We start from the raw sequence: 15,455 nt of genomic DNA, 5'->3' as shown, positions 1-15,455 counted from the left end.
AACTCAGAATTCATTATCCATCTCATTGGGCTAAGGCTCATCTTGAGCCAATGGTGAGGGACACAGAGGCTTGAAGCTATAAAGCAAAGTAGTGGTGGAAATATTCTTTCCAAAAGGTGTAATCAACTTAAAAATGTTTCTTCACCCAGGTTTAAAAATACTTTATCAGCACTATTAAGCTTTTCCATTTTAAAAATTGAGTATTATTTACATACATTAAAATTTACCCTTTTTAGTGTAAATTCTATGAGTTTCAAAAATACATAGTTATATCATCACTACCATAATTAAGATATAGAACAGTTTCATAACCTCCTAAAATTCTCTTATCCCCCATTGTAGTCAAGCCTCCTCCTACACCCAGCCCTGGAAACCACTAATCAGTTTTCTCTCCCTTTAGTTTTGCCTATTTGAGAATGTCATACAGATGGAATCACACAGTATGTCACTTTTGAATCTGGCTTCTTTCACTAAGCATACCTCAGCTGAAATTCACTCACGTTGAGTGTATAAGTCGCTTGTTCCATCTCATAGCTGAGAACTATCCCATTGTACCACAGAGTGCTTATCCATTCACCAGTTGATGGACATTTTGGTGGTTCCCAGTTTTTGGTGATTATGAATAAAGTCACCATAGAAATCCGCATACAGGTTTTTGTGTGAACACAGTTTTTATTTCACTCAGGTAGATACCTCAGAGTGAGACTCCTGAGTCAGATGTTAACTAAATGTTTAAGGATCGGCCAAACTGTTTCCTAAAGTGGCTGTTCTACCATTTATTCCGGACAACATTGTGTGAGAGTCTTAATTGCTCCACGTTCTTGCCAGTTATTTTCAGTTGTGTCACTGTTGTTTAATTATAGCCACATAGGTATGCAGTGGTATCTCATTGTAGTTTTCATTTTTATTTTTCTACTACTGATGTTGAACATAAAAGATGCTCTTTTATGTGCTTATTTGTCCATCCGCATATCATCTTGGTAAACTGTCCATTCGATAATTGGATTCAGGCCGGGTGCAGTGGCTCATGCCTGTAATCCCAGCATTTTGGGAGGCCAAGGTGGGTGGATCATAAGGTCAAGAGATCAAGACCATCCTGGCCAACATGGTGAAACCCCGTCTCTACTAAAAATACAAAAATTAGCTGGGCTTGGTGGCGTGTGCCTGTAATCCCAGCTATTCTGGAGGCTGAGGCAGGAGAATCGCTTGAACCAGGAGGTTACAGTGAGCTGAGATCGCACCATTGCACTCCAGCCTGGTGACAGAGCGAGACTCCATCTCAAAAAATAAAAATAAAAATAACTGGATTCAAACTATTAATTTAATGGCTAATGTGCATATAACATCCATATAGATTATTTCATTTGCTCTTTACAACTCTGAGAAGGAAGTATGGCAGGTATTGTTCCATTTTACAGGTGAGAAATTGAGGCTGAAAATGTTACATGACTTCCCAAGTTCACACCAAGGGGCAGAATTAGAGGTGGAAACCAGGTCTCCCAGTAGCCACTCTCTACCACAAGTTGCTGACTTGCTTCCTAAAGACAAGTAGGACAAATCTTGACTCAGCAGGACTGTGAACAGTCAGCTGAGGCTCCAAGTGACTGAGTGCCCTAGAAAAAATTACGGAAAGGTAAAGTCTGTCCTTCCCTGCTGTGTGACAGATGCTTCCAACCCCCTTACTTCAGCAAAACTTCCCTGTGCTTTATCTCCCTTCTTTGGAGTCTTAACTCTCAGCTACCAATACTTAAAAACACAGGCTAGTGAGCAAATCTCTGACTTCCTTGCCTTTCTACCACCAGAGTAGAGATTTCTGCACTTCAATGGGGACTTTGAGAGACACCACTTCTTCATGCAGTGGTTTTCAACACGCAATGGTTTTCAACACGCAGTAGTTTTCAACACGCAGTCGTTTGCAGACTGTTCTGTTAGAGCCTGGAGCATCCCAAGAAATGGCCTAAAGGGCCTCTGCGGTTGGGACTCAGGGTGGGTGGCAGCAGGCTTTGGGTCCTACTTGACTAACAAAAGCAGATCCATTTTTATCTGTTTTACATATTGGGCTTTCATTTAAAATCGTATTTGAGCAGGAGGATGTGTTGCTTTCTAAACAGGTCTGAAAACCACTGCCTCAAAACTTGTCTTTAAATATTTGAGGGGAAGAAGGTCTCCAAGCATCATTCAAACACTTAACACATGCTTGAAATAAATGAACCAGCACATTTCTCATAGATTCTCTAATGCAGATTTTACTCATTCAAACTCATCCTTAGGCATCCCCACATTCCCAAACCAGTCCGGGATTTTTTAAAATCTTGGAAAATAGACCTGAGTTTCCTAACCTGTGCTCACACCTCTCGTGAGTTATACCAAGATGTTGCCTCCCCTTAGCCCTCAGAGTGTTCAGAAAGGGTTTGGTATCTTCAGACCTTGATCATTTTCATGTTTACTACAGTGCACTGTCCAGGTATCATCCTTTTCTGTATGTGTCCCAATGTGGAAAAGGTTGGAATATTAATAAGGTTATATTAATAAGGTTATTAATATAACAGAGTAGTGTTTTGGGCTTGCACTCTAGAGTTACTCAGTCAGTTATCCTGATTCTCACTTACTAGCTTAGTGGTCCTGGCAAATTGCTTAATTTATCTACCTCTCAGTTTCCTGATCTTTGAAATGGGGATAATAGCAACATAGTTCTTTTTTTTTTTTTTTTTTTTTGAGATGGAGTCTTGCTCTGTTGCCCAGGCTGGAGTGCAGTGGCACAATCTCAGCTCACTGCAACCTCCGCCTCCCAGGTTCAAGAGATTCTCCTGCCTCCCGAGTAGCTGGGATTACAGGCACGTGCCACCATGCCCAGCTAATTTTTGTATTTTTAGTAGAGATGGTGTTTTGCCATCTTGGCCAGGCTGGTCTCGAACTCCTGACCTCAAGTGATCTGCCCACCTTGGCCTCCCAAAGTGCTGGGATTACAGGTGTGAACCACCACACCTGGCCTAATAGCACCATAGTTCTTTGAACTGTTAGGAGGATTAAAAGATAATATACATATGTGATCCACGCAGCAGAGTTCCTAGTACATAGAAGGCTCTCAGTAGATAGCTGCTCCATTGTTAACAGCCCCACCTATCCATGAGATTTGCCCTTTTGGCCATAGAGGTAGCTAAAACTTGCCACAGATTCATTGCTGCACCTTTGATTATGCTTTTAAAATGAATATAAATGTGAAGCTTCAATAAGCAAATACCATCACCATTGTAAAAGTTATTAATGTTCATAACATCTAGTTTACATCTCTGGTAATATAAGTGAAACAAATACATGTTTGAAGGCCATTAACGATGGCTCCATACTTGGAAACAATGCTTCAGAAAGAGCAGATGCAAAGTAAAACCATTTGTTCTGCAATTTTCAAGGTACTTTTGTTTATATTTTGTTACAAAAAGCAATCACCTTAGTGATGGCTGAACAGATGCAAATGAACCTTTATAGTTTGAACACAATTCTTAAAAGGTTTTTCTTTTGAATGCCAAATGACTTCACATTACTGTCCTTTGATCTACCTTAATCATTTTAGTATTTTCCCATAATATTCTAAATTAAAAGAAAATAGATTTCAATAAAACCACACCAGTATTGTCTAACCCCAGACAACTGTAGGTTGCAACAGGAAAGAGTTTTATAACAAATGGCACTAAATTCATGGATATTTTTACAGAATAATTCTAGTCATTTGAGCAGTAAAAGTATTTATGTCTCAAAGTGACTCAGTGTCTCCAGTATCTAATATATTTTCAATTCAATCCAGCTTCAAGGAATGTCACTGTGAAGATATTTTTTTAAGTAGATAGTACTATCCCTGCCCTTAAGAAATCCAATTTTATTGTTCTCTGATTGCAGGTCATATTTCTTTTTCTTTTTCTTTCTTTTTTTTTTTTTTTTGAGATGGAGTCTCACTCTGTCGCCCAGGCTGGAGTGCAGAGGCATGATCTCGGCTCACTGTAACTTCTGCCTCCCAGGTTCAAGCGATTCTCATGCCTCAGCATCCCGAGTAGCTGGGATTACAGGCATGTGCCACCACACCCGGCTAATTTTTGTATTTTTAGTAGAGACGGGGTTTTACCATGTTAGCCAGGCTGGTCTTGAACTCCTGACCTCAGGTGATCCACCCGCCTTGGCTTCCCAAAGTGCTGGGATTACAGGTGTGAGCCACCGCGCCTGGCCTGCAGGTCATATTTCTATCATTTTCACAGATCAATGCTCTAATCATAGCGACTGTGTCCAAGGTTCAAACACAAATGGCGTTTGAGAGTCTCCATTAGGAATAACGATGGACCTGCTTCTGACAATCACTTTAGATGGAAGTTTCTGTTATACTGCCCCAGAAGAAGACATGAGCCCTCATTTCTCAATCAGACTAGCAGACAGTAAAGACATTCAGCGTCAGTGTTTCAGCTGAGTTTGTAGAACATTACCCAATTCCGAAAGCCATTCAATGCCCCTTAGCTACCAGCTGTGTGGCCTTGAACAAGTTCCTTAACCTCTGTGTCTCTGTTTCCTCATCTGTAAAATGTGTCAGTTTACATGTATTAACATGAGTTAATACATTTCAGGGCCTTCAAAGAGTGCCTGGCATCTAGTAAGTACCTCAGTCAGTGTTAGCTATTGCCATTATGAGTAGTATCAATAGCAATAATGCTTCTATTATCTTCCTGACCACTCTAATCCAAGACGCAGTCGTTAGGCCCTGGGTTCATGCCCTGTAATGAGAGTAGGAAAGCAATGTAGGAACTCTTATTCATGGCTTTCGGAAACACCCAGCCTGAAGCTGGATGCCCTGAGGCCACTGGTGAGGTATGGGACAGCTGACAAAGTCTCTTTCCCCACCCCACCTCCGGCCCCACCCGAACCCCACCATTGCCCACAGTCTCTGGCTCCCTTCTAAGGGTTTTCTTGTTTATGTTTTGTTATAAAGAGCAATCACCTTTGTGATGGTGGAACAGATGCAAATGAACCATTATAATTTGGGCACAATCCTTAAAAGATTTTTCTTTCTCAACCTCTGTGTCTTCAGCACAGGATAAAATTAACTCTCCTTTGATGTGGGTTATGCTTTCCTCTTCTGCACAAATGTTTGCTGGAGTTAAGAGCCATATGGGAAAACCAAGAATACAGATACTTATTTACTGCAACAAGCAGTTTATTCCTATTGGGTCAGCTCTCTGGTTTTACCATCACTTTGGTTATATATCATAAACAAGCTGTTGAAACACAATTTCTGTAGATGAGATTTTTTATTTCTGGCATATGAAGTGAAGGAGCACATTTTATTTTTTAATATTGCTGGGCTCCTACAAGATAATTTGAGAAACCATACATCTTTTAACTAAAACATAATGGGGTGTGTGTGATCTGTGTGTATATATACTGATATGTACTTATGGATTAATCAATCTGTTTTCTAGGAAAGATCCAAACTGGCTAGAACTGACAATAGGAAGGGTAAGAAACTTGATCCTAACTTAGGAGAGGGGCTTGCTTCTCCCACAGTGGAATATAAGATATTTAGAGTCTATCTTACCTGTGGGTTCATTGGAACATTTTCTGGCATGTTGGTTAATGACTTCCCAGGGACAGAGCTCCTTTAAGTAAAGCTATTACTGCATCATTAGAGCTCATAACACGGGAAAGAACATCCATAAAAATTCAGAATTTGACTTTGCGCCCTGGGAATCTGAGCTTCTCTTCATCCCTGTCCATCCTAAGGGGCCTCCGATGAAAGCGGGAACTCTTCCCAGTGTATTTCTGTGGCTGGCTTCCTCCTTGTTCCCTCTCCCCAAACTTAGTCATTTCCCCTCCCGCTTCACATACACATTACCATTTCACCACCATCATCCCTCTCAAAACTGATCAAAGTTCCAAATACAAACCTGTTTTTGACAGATTATACTTCAAATGAAAATCCTTTGCCCTGAAGTGTTTCCTCAAGTCAGCATTTGGTTTCAAGTCTTCCATTTCTATTTGTGGAATATATGTATTCACTCATCAAATATTCATCAAGCACTTATTTTTGTGTCGAGGGCTATGCTAGTTATTAAATACACTGTGATAAACAAGGCCAATGTGGTCATTGCCCTTATGAAGCTTACAGCTAGCATTTGAGACTGATGTTTATCAAATAAGCAAGCAAAAGTATAATTACACATTATAATTACTACAACGAAATAAAATCGAGAAGCTGCTGAGGGGGTGTAGTATCTACTGTAGATTGGAGTTCTCTGGGATGATATTAAGAGTCCTGAAGGATGAAAAAGAACCCGCCATGTTCTTTTTAGATAGTTGTGGGGAAGCCTTCCTCCAGCAGAGAAGTCAGCAATGATGTCCCAGAATAGAAAGTGAGCTTGGAGCATTTGAAGAACTGAACGAAGACCAGTGTGGGTGGAGAATAGGCAATGAGGGGAAATGAAGCTGGGGAGGCTGGCAGGGGCCAGATCATGCAGGCTTTTTTAGGCTATGTTAAATCATTTTGGATTTTGATCTAAGAGCAGTGGGGATCCATTGAGTGTTCAAGCAAGGGAATGGCATGATCTAATTTATGTCTCAAAGAGATAGCTGTGAATGTTATACAGATAATCACTGGAGGTGGGCAAGAGTAGAATGAAAGAAGAGTGGGTTCTTGTAGCCCATGTGAGAAATGATAGCTTGGCAGGCCAATCCCTTGAGTAGGGTAATTAGGTTAGTTGCCCTGGGGAGGGTATGTGGTTCATGGTAGACTATACTTCTCTTTTCTGAATAGCACTGAAATTCATTTTAGAAATTTCTGTCTTCAACAGTATCCCCAAGGGTTTATGAAAGATGTCCACACGTGGCCCTCTTTCAATTGTGTCTTCAGCAGCCCACATTGGTTGCATCCTTCCAGGAAATCCCCATATTTTGAATTAGGGCGGTGAAAGTGAAGGTGAAGATAAGTTGACAGGGTTCACATATATTTGAAGATAAGACTAATAAGTCTTGCAGGTGGGTTGTATTTGTGCAGTAAGGGAGAGAAAGGAATCAAGGATGACTCCAAGTGATGACTGTGCCATTCACCAACATGGGGAAATAAGGGAGAGAGTCCAGGATAGGTTTGGGGGAAAAGATTTCTATTTGGACTTATTAAAGAAGCCGATGAACTGTCCAAGTGGACATCGAGAAGGCAGATGGATATACCAGTGTACAGCTGGCAGAGCTCAGCAGAAACATTTGGGAGTATTGTTATATAAAAGCTACATGAATAATGAAAACACCTAGGAGGGAATGCAGAGAAAGAAAACTATGTAAGACCAAGCCCTAAAGAAGTCAGGTAAAATAAGAGGAATCTGCAAAGTAAATTGAGGAGAAACTGCCAGAAGTAGGATAAAAAGCAGGAGAATGGGGTGTCCTGACAACCAAGAGTCCAGTTTGTTAATGGAAGTAGTCAGCTGTGTGAAAATGTGGTAAGATATAGTCATCCTTTAGTTTCTGGGGGATTGGTTCCTGGACCCCCACAAATATCAAAATGTTCAGATGCTCAAGTCCCTTATATGAACTGGTATAGTATTTGCATATAACCTACATACATCCTCCCAAATACTTTAAATCATCTCTAGGTCATTTATAATACCCAGCACAATGTAAGTGCTATGTCAACAACTGCTGTACTGTGTTTTTAATTTGTATTACCTTTAATCGTTGTATTGTTATTTTGTATTTTTCCCAAATATTTTCCATCCTCATTTGGTTGAATTTGCAGATGTAGAACCCACAGATGTGGAGGGCCAACTATGTTAAGTTGAATACAGAGTCCTCTGGATTTCACATCAGAAAGGTCATCGGCAACCTTGACTAGAGCAGTTTCACCAGGGTAGTGGTGGAGAGGGCAGGCTGAGGAAGCCAGTTTGGAATGAAAGGATTTTCCTTCTTAATTTTAGCCACTGGGCCTGGGGACATTGGACAAAGGGGCTGCATAAATCCCAGCAGGCCAGATATGGCTGATTTCATCCTTCTAGGATGGGTCTCTATTATTTCTAATTGTAGTTAGAGCATCTCAGAACGTGAACGATGCTGTGTAGCACATCTTCCTTGGCAACCACCTCATAAATGAACATGATCACACACTTTAGCCAACGCCCAGGTCCAAAAAAGGAGAAAGGGAGGCAAGGAAGGAAGGAGGGAAGGAGGAGGCAGGGAAACAGGTAGGCAGGCAGGGAGGCAGGAAGGAGAAAAACATCGTCTGAAGGAAGCAGAACTAAATTGAACTCTTCTGGTTATTATATGTCAAGATTTCATAAAAACTAGATTTTCCAGTCTTAGAGAAGGGCTCTTCCTGTCCAGCACAATCTGTGTCACCTTGCTGAGGCAGGTGATAGGGCAAGGTGGGATATGGGCTGCCTACTGAAGAGGCCCCTTGTGCTTTACAGAGCTTTGCAGGCTCGTGCCTGGAGCTTTGCAGGCTCGTGCCTGGACAGACACCATATGTTTCGTACTGAACTGAAGAGTTCCTGTGCAGAAAAATGAAAATATTCAACCACTCATATAGATATCCATCTTTTAAATCACTTTGTGATATAGTAAATCTTAATTTCTTGTTAATATTTTTAACCCATAGTGACTTGGAACATTTTAGTTTTTAGTTTCTCCCGCTGTTAAGTGTTTAATGATCTATAAACAAACTCTTGAGAAACTTTTATAAGAGGAATCTTTGAATTTGTGAATAATTTCACCTTTTACGATATGAAAAATCACTGGAGGAGGGAAAGAAAAGAGTGTCTCCCTGAATCTCAGAAGTAATTTGAAGCCAACTAATGATGGATGGATGAATATTTTTTCATTTTTCTGGATAGGAACTCTCCAGTTCAATGCCAGATATGTAGTAAGATGTTCAGAAATAAATGCTAAGTCTTCTGCTTAAGGATAAGATCTGGTTCCTGTTGGTTGGCAGTGGCCACTGTTCTTGCCCATTTCACATACTTTAATCCTATTTGCAAGGTAACATCTTGGGACAGTTTCTAAGTAAAAAGAGTAAAGAAACCCAAATTTTTACTCCTAACTGGCCCATTTTGTAATCTTGGTCAAGTTAGTTAACCTCTCTCTACTTCAATTCCTCCTTCAGGAAATGGTGTGAGTAATATCAACCTTCTCCCCTTATCTAAGAAGTAATTTGAGGCCAGCTAATTAACTCTACCATATGTGATGTAATGATGGGGAAAAGAGCTATTAAAATGTGAAATATCATTACCATGGTCCAAGTCAGAGATCACTGTTGCACAAGCTACCCTCTAGTTAGGCCTTTTGAAGACCACTTTTTAACTCTTCTAAGCTGTATCTCGCTAGATGGGTGGATTGCCACCACTTATCATTTGTTAGTCTGATTTTAAACTCTAACCCACCCAAAAGTAGAACACATTCTCATTTTCATTGGATATATTTGCCTTTGAGGATTTCAGACTATTCCTTAAGGTAACCAAGGATACCTGAGGTGTAGCAAAATGACACCTGGGAATCACAGCACCTGGAAATGACTGCCTTATTGCACTTATTCAAAACCTCACCTGCAAAGGTACTAGTTAATGAGGCGGCTTCCACAGGAGCCCAATCCATAAGTAGGCAGCAGGTGGGGTACAGAAGAAAAATATGATTGACCCTCCCATTGCAAAGTGCTTTCCCTTAGAAAGTGTATGTCTCACATCTGTAAAGTTGGATATTTTATCCCCATCTTATAAAGGAAGAAATTGAGGCTCAGAGAGATTTAGTTGTTGGTCCAAAATCACGTCACCAGTAAATACATGCCAGAGCCAGGATTAGATTCCAGGACTTCTAGGATTTTACCATGTGAAAATGATAATGGACATCAGTGTATGGAAGAAGGAAGGTTAACATTATGCCCAAAATGTTCCATTCGAATTTCACATAGAATGAGAAACGTTTTTGATTTGCCATTCTAAAGATGGCCAGAATTATTGGGAAAACCATTGCCACTGCCCTTTTCCTCTCCTTATTGCTTTATAAATCAGTATCAAAGGTACTATATAAGAACCCTCAAGTTTCAAACAAAGTAGACCCTGGACATTAATGGACTGAGTATGCACAAGTATCACTGACAGCCTCTGACACGTTACAGAGGCAAGAGCTTGAATCACATGCACTGAGGTTGCTGTGTGGGACTGAATCTTTTAGCTAGTGAGGGAGGCTCACCTGGCACCCAGAATTCAAATCTATCAATGTGGTTTCTTCGTTCTCCACTCATGACCATATACCAATTCTGTGGAAGAAAAATTACACTCTAGAATATCACAAAATTTGAGCATTTCCAAGGTCATGAGACATATTTCTTACAAATATCAAGGATTCACAGTAATTGGATTTCCCTGCTTTCATTTCCCCTTAGTGGCCAGAAGCTCCAGGGAACTGTTGTTGCTCACAGTAGCAGCTAACTCATCTCAGATTCCTAATACATCTGTCCTTCTACTTGGCCTCTGACCAGCTGTTGCTTTAAAAAAAAAGTCATCTCTCATTTTAATCATTGTTTTATATGTGTTTTGATGTTGTCAATTGTCTTAAATCCTTTTTGGAAGTAGGTAACTTAAATCCTAAGTAAATGTTGGAACTAGACTTCCTAGAAAGAATTATCTTAGTCCTGGGGCCCTCCATAATGTTAGAAGTACTAAAAAGAATTAAGTTCCATCCGGACTTGGCAAAGAAAAAAAATGGAATTAAGGACGATTTTTTTTAAAAAATGATAGTTTTAAAATGTATTTATCCAAATTCTGAAACTGACAGCAGCTAGGAATATGCTTTGAGTGACACCTACTGGTTGAGAACGTCACTTCCCAACTTCCAGAGAACCCAGACCAGTGTTTCTCAAAGCTTGGCTCTAAACCAAGCTTGTCCAACCCGCCTCCAGCTTTGAATGTGACCCAACACAAATTTGTAAACTTTCTTAAAAGATTATGAGATTTATGCATGGACCTTTTTTTTTTGAGCCCATCAGCTATCGTTAGTGTATTTTATGTGTAGCCCAAGACAATTCTAATGTAGCCCAAAGAAGCCAAAAGATTGGACACCCCTGCTAGGCCACCTTTTTCAGAATGGGTGCCTGATAAAAATACAGAGGACTTCCTGGGCCCCGTGCTGCTGAAACCTCCGGGCCTGCTCCTCCCGGGGAATCTGTATTTTTCACCACCACCCTGGTGATTCCAAGGTCTACTCGAGTTGGAGACCCATTTATTCAAGGGCTGTCAAGTGAGCTGTCTATACAGGACTATCAGGCCCGAGAACACCCCCGGAAGTTAGCAGGGCCAAGGCGAAGGGATTAGGCCTGGGCTTCGCGTTGGCCTCCCCGGTCCACGGACGAGGTTCGGGGCGTGGGGGCTAAGCGGGGCGGAGGGAACCCCCAAATCCCCGGGGGCGCGGCCGCTGCCCTCTCGGCAGTGAGGGTGGGGGTGGGGGTGGGGGCGGCGGTGGCTCCGGCCCCTGAGAGCAATCGCCCCAGCTGCCTGCCCCTGTCCCCGGCGTAGAGAGGGCACGGGGACGTCCTGCGTGCGCCACTGCTAACGCCTGTGCTTCCCGTCCACAGACGAACCCGCCCCCTGGAGTTCTCCCGCTGCCGCCGCCCCAGGTCTGCCGGAAGTAGGCGTCTCCCTGGACGACGGCCTCGCTCCATTCTCTCCATCACATCCAGCCCCACCCTCCGACCCTTCCCACCAGATAAGCCCAGGCCCAACTTGGGATATCAAACGGGAACACGACGTTAGGAAACCAAAGGAGCTTTCAGCCTGCGGCCAGAAGAAGCAGCGCCTCGGGGAGCAGAGGGAGCGCTCGGCGAGTCCGCAGAGGGCCGCGCGGCCGAGGCTCGAGGAGGCGCCCGGCGGCCAGGGGCGGCCCGAGGCCGGCAGGCCCGCCTCGGAGGCCAGGGCGCCCGGGCTCGCGGCGGCAGACGCGGCGGACGCGGCGCGGGCGGGCGGGAAGGAGGCGCCCCGTGCGGCGGCGGGCTCCGAGCTCTGCCGGCGCGAAGGCCCGGGGGCTGCGCCGGCGTTTGCCGGCCCGGGCGGCGGCGGCAGCGGCGCGCTGGAGGCCGAGGGCAGGGCGGGTGCGCGCGCGGGTCCCCGGCCGGGCCCGCGACCCCCGGGGGGCGCCCCGGCGCGCAAGGCCGCCGTCGCGCCGGGGCCCTGGAAGGTGCCGGGTTCTGACAAGCTGCCCAGCGTCCTCAAACCCGGCGCCTCGGCCGCCAGCAGATGAGCCGCGCGGCCACGGCCAACCCGCCCGCCCCGGCGCAGGCAGTTCTTCTTAGGTTCCGTCTCACGGCGTTTTAATTTATTTTCACTGTCACACGCATAGATCCACGAGGCACCAAGGCCTGGGAGCATCGACGTGAAGTCCCACGTGTCCGGTGTGCTTGGGCGGCATCGCATCAACGCGCAGACCTAAACTGATCCTAAAGCCCCCGGTTCCCTTGTGGGGGCTTTGGCAGCTATGGAAGAACCAAAATAACGTGAAGAACATCACAGAGAGACAGTGCAGTGTAGCTTTAGTTTAAGAAAAAAAAATATTCCTCCCCACTGCATGAAGGACTTGGATGTCATCCAAACTTTATATCAAGAAACAGGACAAAGTTAAGAGCAATCACAAACTGGAATATCGCCTTAAAAATCAAACTGCACGGAGCAAGCTGAAACTGAGACAAGATTATATCTTTTAATTGATCTAAAGCGTTGTAAATAAATTGTTCTCGACATATCTAGACAGGGGTTAAAGGGTTTCTTTGACACATTCGGAACCGTTCACCCATGACATGTTTCCATGGCTCACCCTTGGCATCCATCCTCGGTGTTAGCAGCAGCGTTCCCTGCCTCCTGCAGGATGACTTAGAAATCTAGTGAGTTTCTTGGTGTGATGCCATTTTTATTGCCCTTTCTGTGATCAAATCATATTTCTGTACATTTTCAGTGGTAGAAAAAAAAGGTTTTAAAAATTGTATCCTAGGGAACAGTTTGCCATAAGTCAGAATTTTGCAGTTTAGCTCATAGATCTTAATTGGTTTTTCTCTAAAATATGAATTTTATAATTGAAGGACCACAATTTGTTTAATCAAGATAGGCAACGCTGCAGTTCCTTTATGAAGAGGCTTTTCTGTCGTCCCAGGCTAGCAGAGATGGATAGCTTCTTTGTCAGCAATGTGATTTCACTTATTTTATTGTCTTATTTTAAACCCTGTCTCCATGACTTCATTTGCACTTTGACAGAGCAGAGGCAGAGTATTTGTCTTATATTTCTCAGATTATAATATTAAAAAATTACAATCAATTTATTTTCATTAAAGAACGTGAGTCTTTTTAGCATTCCTTTCTGCTTATCCTTCTTTCCTTACCCTTTGTCCTTTTGTTTCCATTAGTTTTCTTTCGTCTTGTATTCCTTGCCACTTTATTTTGTTAGCAACTTCTAGATGTTTATCTTCATGGATCTATGATTGACCTCCTAGTAAAATTCTAAGTCTTGCCTTTCTTCCCTGCTGTTTTAGCATTTCTTTGTAAAATGTTAGCTTCAATTAATTAGCCATTGGTACTTACTGTAGCTACACATATTAAAAGGCAAAGTGTTTCTGAAGGCAATTTCTTTTTAATATGCCCGAATGAATGAGGCTTCATCCTTTCCATATTCTTACTCTTTACAGGAGTTCAAATGCAAATAAGCTCCACCTCCCTGCACTTGTAGTCTAAAAAGTAAAAGGGGCGATCAGGTCCATCTCAAAGGTCACACGTAATAGCCTCCCTGGGCTGATCATTCCCTCTCCTTGTAATTGCAGTATCCTGAGTAGCAGTTTAATTTTCATCAAACATCGGAGTAGTTTAGTTGTTTGACAGGAGGAGAATAAGGCTGAAAGCCTCAAGTGAAGGATCTTGCAGCTTGTAAAAGCAATTTCCAAAAATGAAACCCATTCATCGTAAACAAAAGCACAAACACTTGTAGCAGTTTATAATGCTTTTGGTTTAATCTCAATTAGTCTTTCTCCCCTGGACTAGAAATCCAGTATAGTTTGCCATTAATTTATTGAATCTGGTTTTGGACAATGCTTCTGTAGTGTAGCTGCACGTCCTGGTACTGTATCCTCTGACTTTATTTTCCATGTATTACAAAAGGAAAAAAAAATTGAGATTACACTGGCATAAACTCTAGTTTGCACAGTTCACAGCTACTACTTGTGCAGTAATTGCTTTATGCGGCTGTAATCCATAACCTGTGAAGACAGCACATCATCTAAATCCCATTCCAAATAATATTTGTGTAGTGTTAGCTGTGAATTTACCCTGTACAGCTGTATCTCTATAAATATAATTCCATGTATTAATAGTCACAGAAAGACTGTAAGTGAGCAACTATTTTTATGAAACGTACCACTATGGATAAATTAACTTTTACAGAAATCTTGTTTACTGTATGATATTCTAAAACACTGTCAAATAAAATATATATCCAAAAATCTTTTCTTTTTCCAACTATATAGGCTGTGTGTTAATTTGAAATAGATTATTACTGGGGGTTAACTTAGTTTTTCAAAACTGCAGTTTTCATCGACTTTTTTTATTTTTGGAAGTATAAGTTTTAATGCCCCAAATAGGACTTTTTTGAAACTTGAATCTAAAAGCAGTGGCATTACATGGGAAAGATCATTGGCTTTTTTGGCCTAAGTAAACAGTTTTCTCAGTCTTGTTGATATTTGCTTGTCAGGTTACTACATCATTCATGAATTGGCTGTATATTTCTGTTGCTTGCTACATTGATCGATACTTTACCTTTTTTCAAAAAGGATTTAAAGTATCCATCTGTAATAAATTCCATCACATTTTTTCCTTTTAATTCTGAAATTTTCTCATGCAAAATCCCAAGGAGTTCATGCAGAAGCCAACATAGCAAGCAGCAGTGAACTGGTCCAAAATGAATGGTTGAATATAGCTTTTGTCATGTATTGCGATGCCTGTGGTAGGAAGGGAGAGTTCTGCTTGGCCCTTGGGTGATTACAACCCTGCCATCGAGGAGTTGACGATCGGAAGGAACAGTTCAACGCTAATCAAGATCCTCCTCTCCACCTGTCAGTAGGAGGCCTAAAGTTCCCAAACTGTCCATCTTTCATTCCAATACAAAATTTTTAATATCGTGCATCATTTTTATAAAAGGAAAGAGGTGATGTATAAAATGGAACACAAAAATTATGAAATTTGTAACACATGTAGTTCTTTATGAAGTAATCTGAGAATGGGCCAGTGCAAGCTGAAAAAGACCTATATAAAAATGTTGTTTAAATGGAATATAAATATTCATCCTGCACTACTTATTTTAAAATAAGAAATACAAATTACTAAGACACCAAAAGATAGGAAGCCAGAGATCAAAGGACTAGGATAGGGATAAGGCAGGAACTAGGGGGAAGCCAGCAAGGCCCCTGCTGG

General features: G+C 42.1%; 1 protein-coding gene across 15 annotated transcripts in view, besides 2 other annotated features; it reads left to right on the top strand.

Annotated features, from left to right (window-relative positions):
• Positions 1-14,509, top strand: part of MAGI2 (membrane associated guanylate kinase, WW and PDZ domain containing 2) — a 1,436,613-nt gene extending 1,422,104 nt beyond the window's left edge. For 10 of the 15 annotated variants that reach the window (XM_017012845.3, XM_017012846.3, XM_011516718.3 and 7 more), the window contains 2 exons: positions 5,460-5,496; positions 11,588-14,509. In XM_017012845.3, the coding sequence (XP_016868334.1) occupies positions 5,460-5,496; positions 11,588-12,249 (699 nt within the window). In that variant the 3' untranslated portion in view covers positions 12,250-14,509. The remainder of the gene's footprint in view (positions 1-5,459; positions 5,497-11,587) is intronic. The other 5 variants (XM_047421093.1, NM_001301128.2, NM_012301.4 and 2 more) reach the window with 1 other exon arrangement.
• Positions 11,881-12,040: a silencer, noted in NCBI's record as "silent region_18332". NCBI's record gives its function as "represses an Ori minimal core promoter by ATAC-STARR-seq in GM12878 lymphoblastoid cells {active_cell/tissue: GM12878}" and the evidence as "EXISTENCE:reporter gene assay evidence [ECO:0000049][PMID:35858748]".
• Positions 12,021-12,522: an enhancer, noted in NCBI's record as "H3K27ac hESC enhancer chr7:77648359-77648860 (GRCh37/hg19 assembly coordinates)". NCBI's record gives its function as "activates a minimal SCP1, AML or CMV promoter by ChIP-STARR-seq in primed H9 embryonic stem cells {active_cell/tissue: H9 hESC(primed)}" and the evidence as "EXISTENCE:reporter gene assay evidence [ECO:0000049][PMID:30033119]".

This window comes from Homo sapiens, chromosome 7, assembly GCF_000001405.40.
Source record: "Homo sapiens chromosome 7, GRCh38.p14 Primary Assembly".
NCBI lineage: Eukaryota > Metazoa > Chordata > Mammalia > Primates > Hominidae > Homo > Homo sapiens.
The sequence above is the reverse complement of the archived record's forward strand: the minus strand, read 5'-3'. Positions and strand labels throughout refer to the sequence as shown.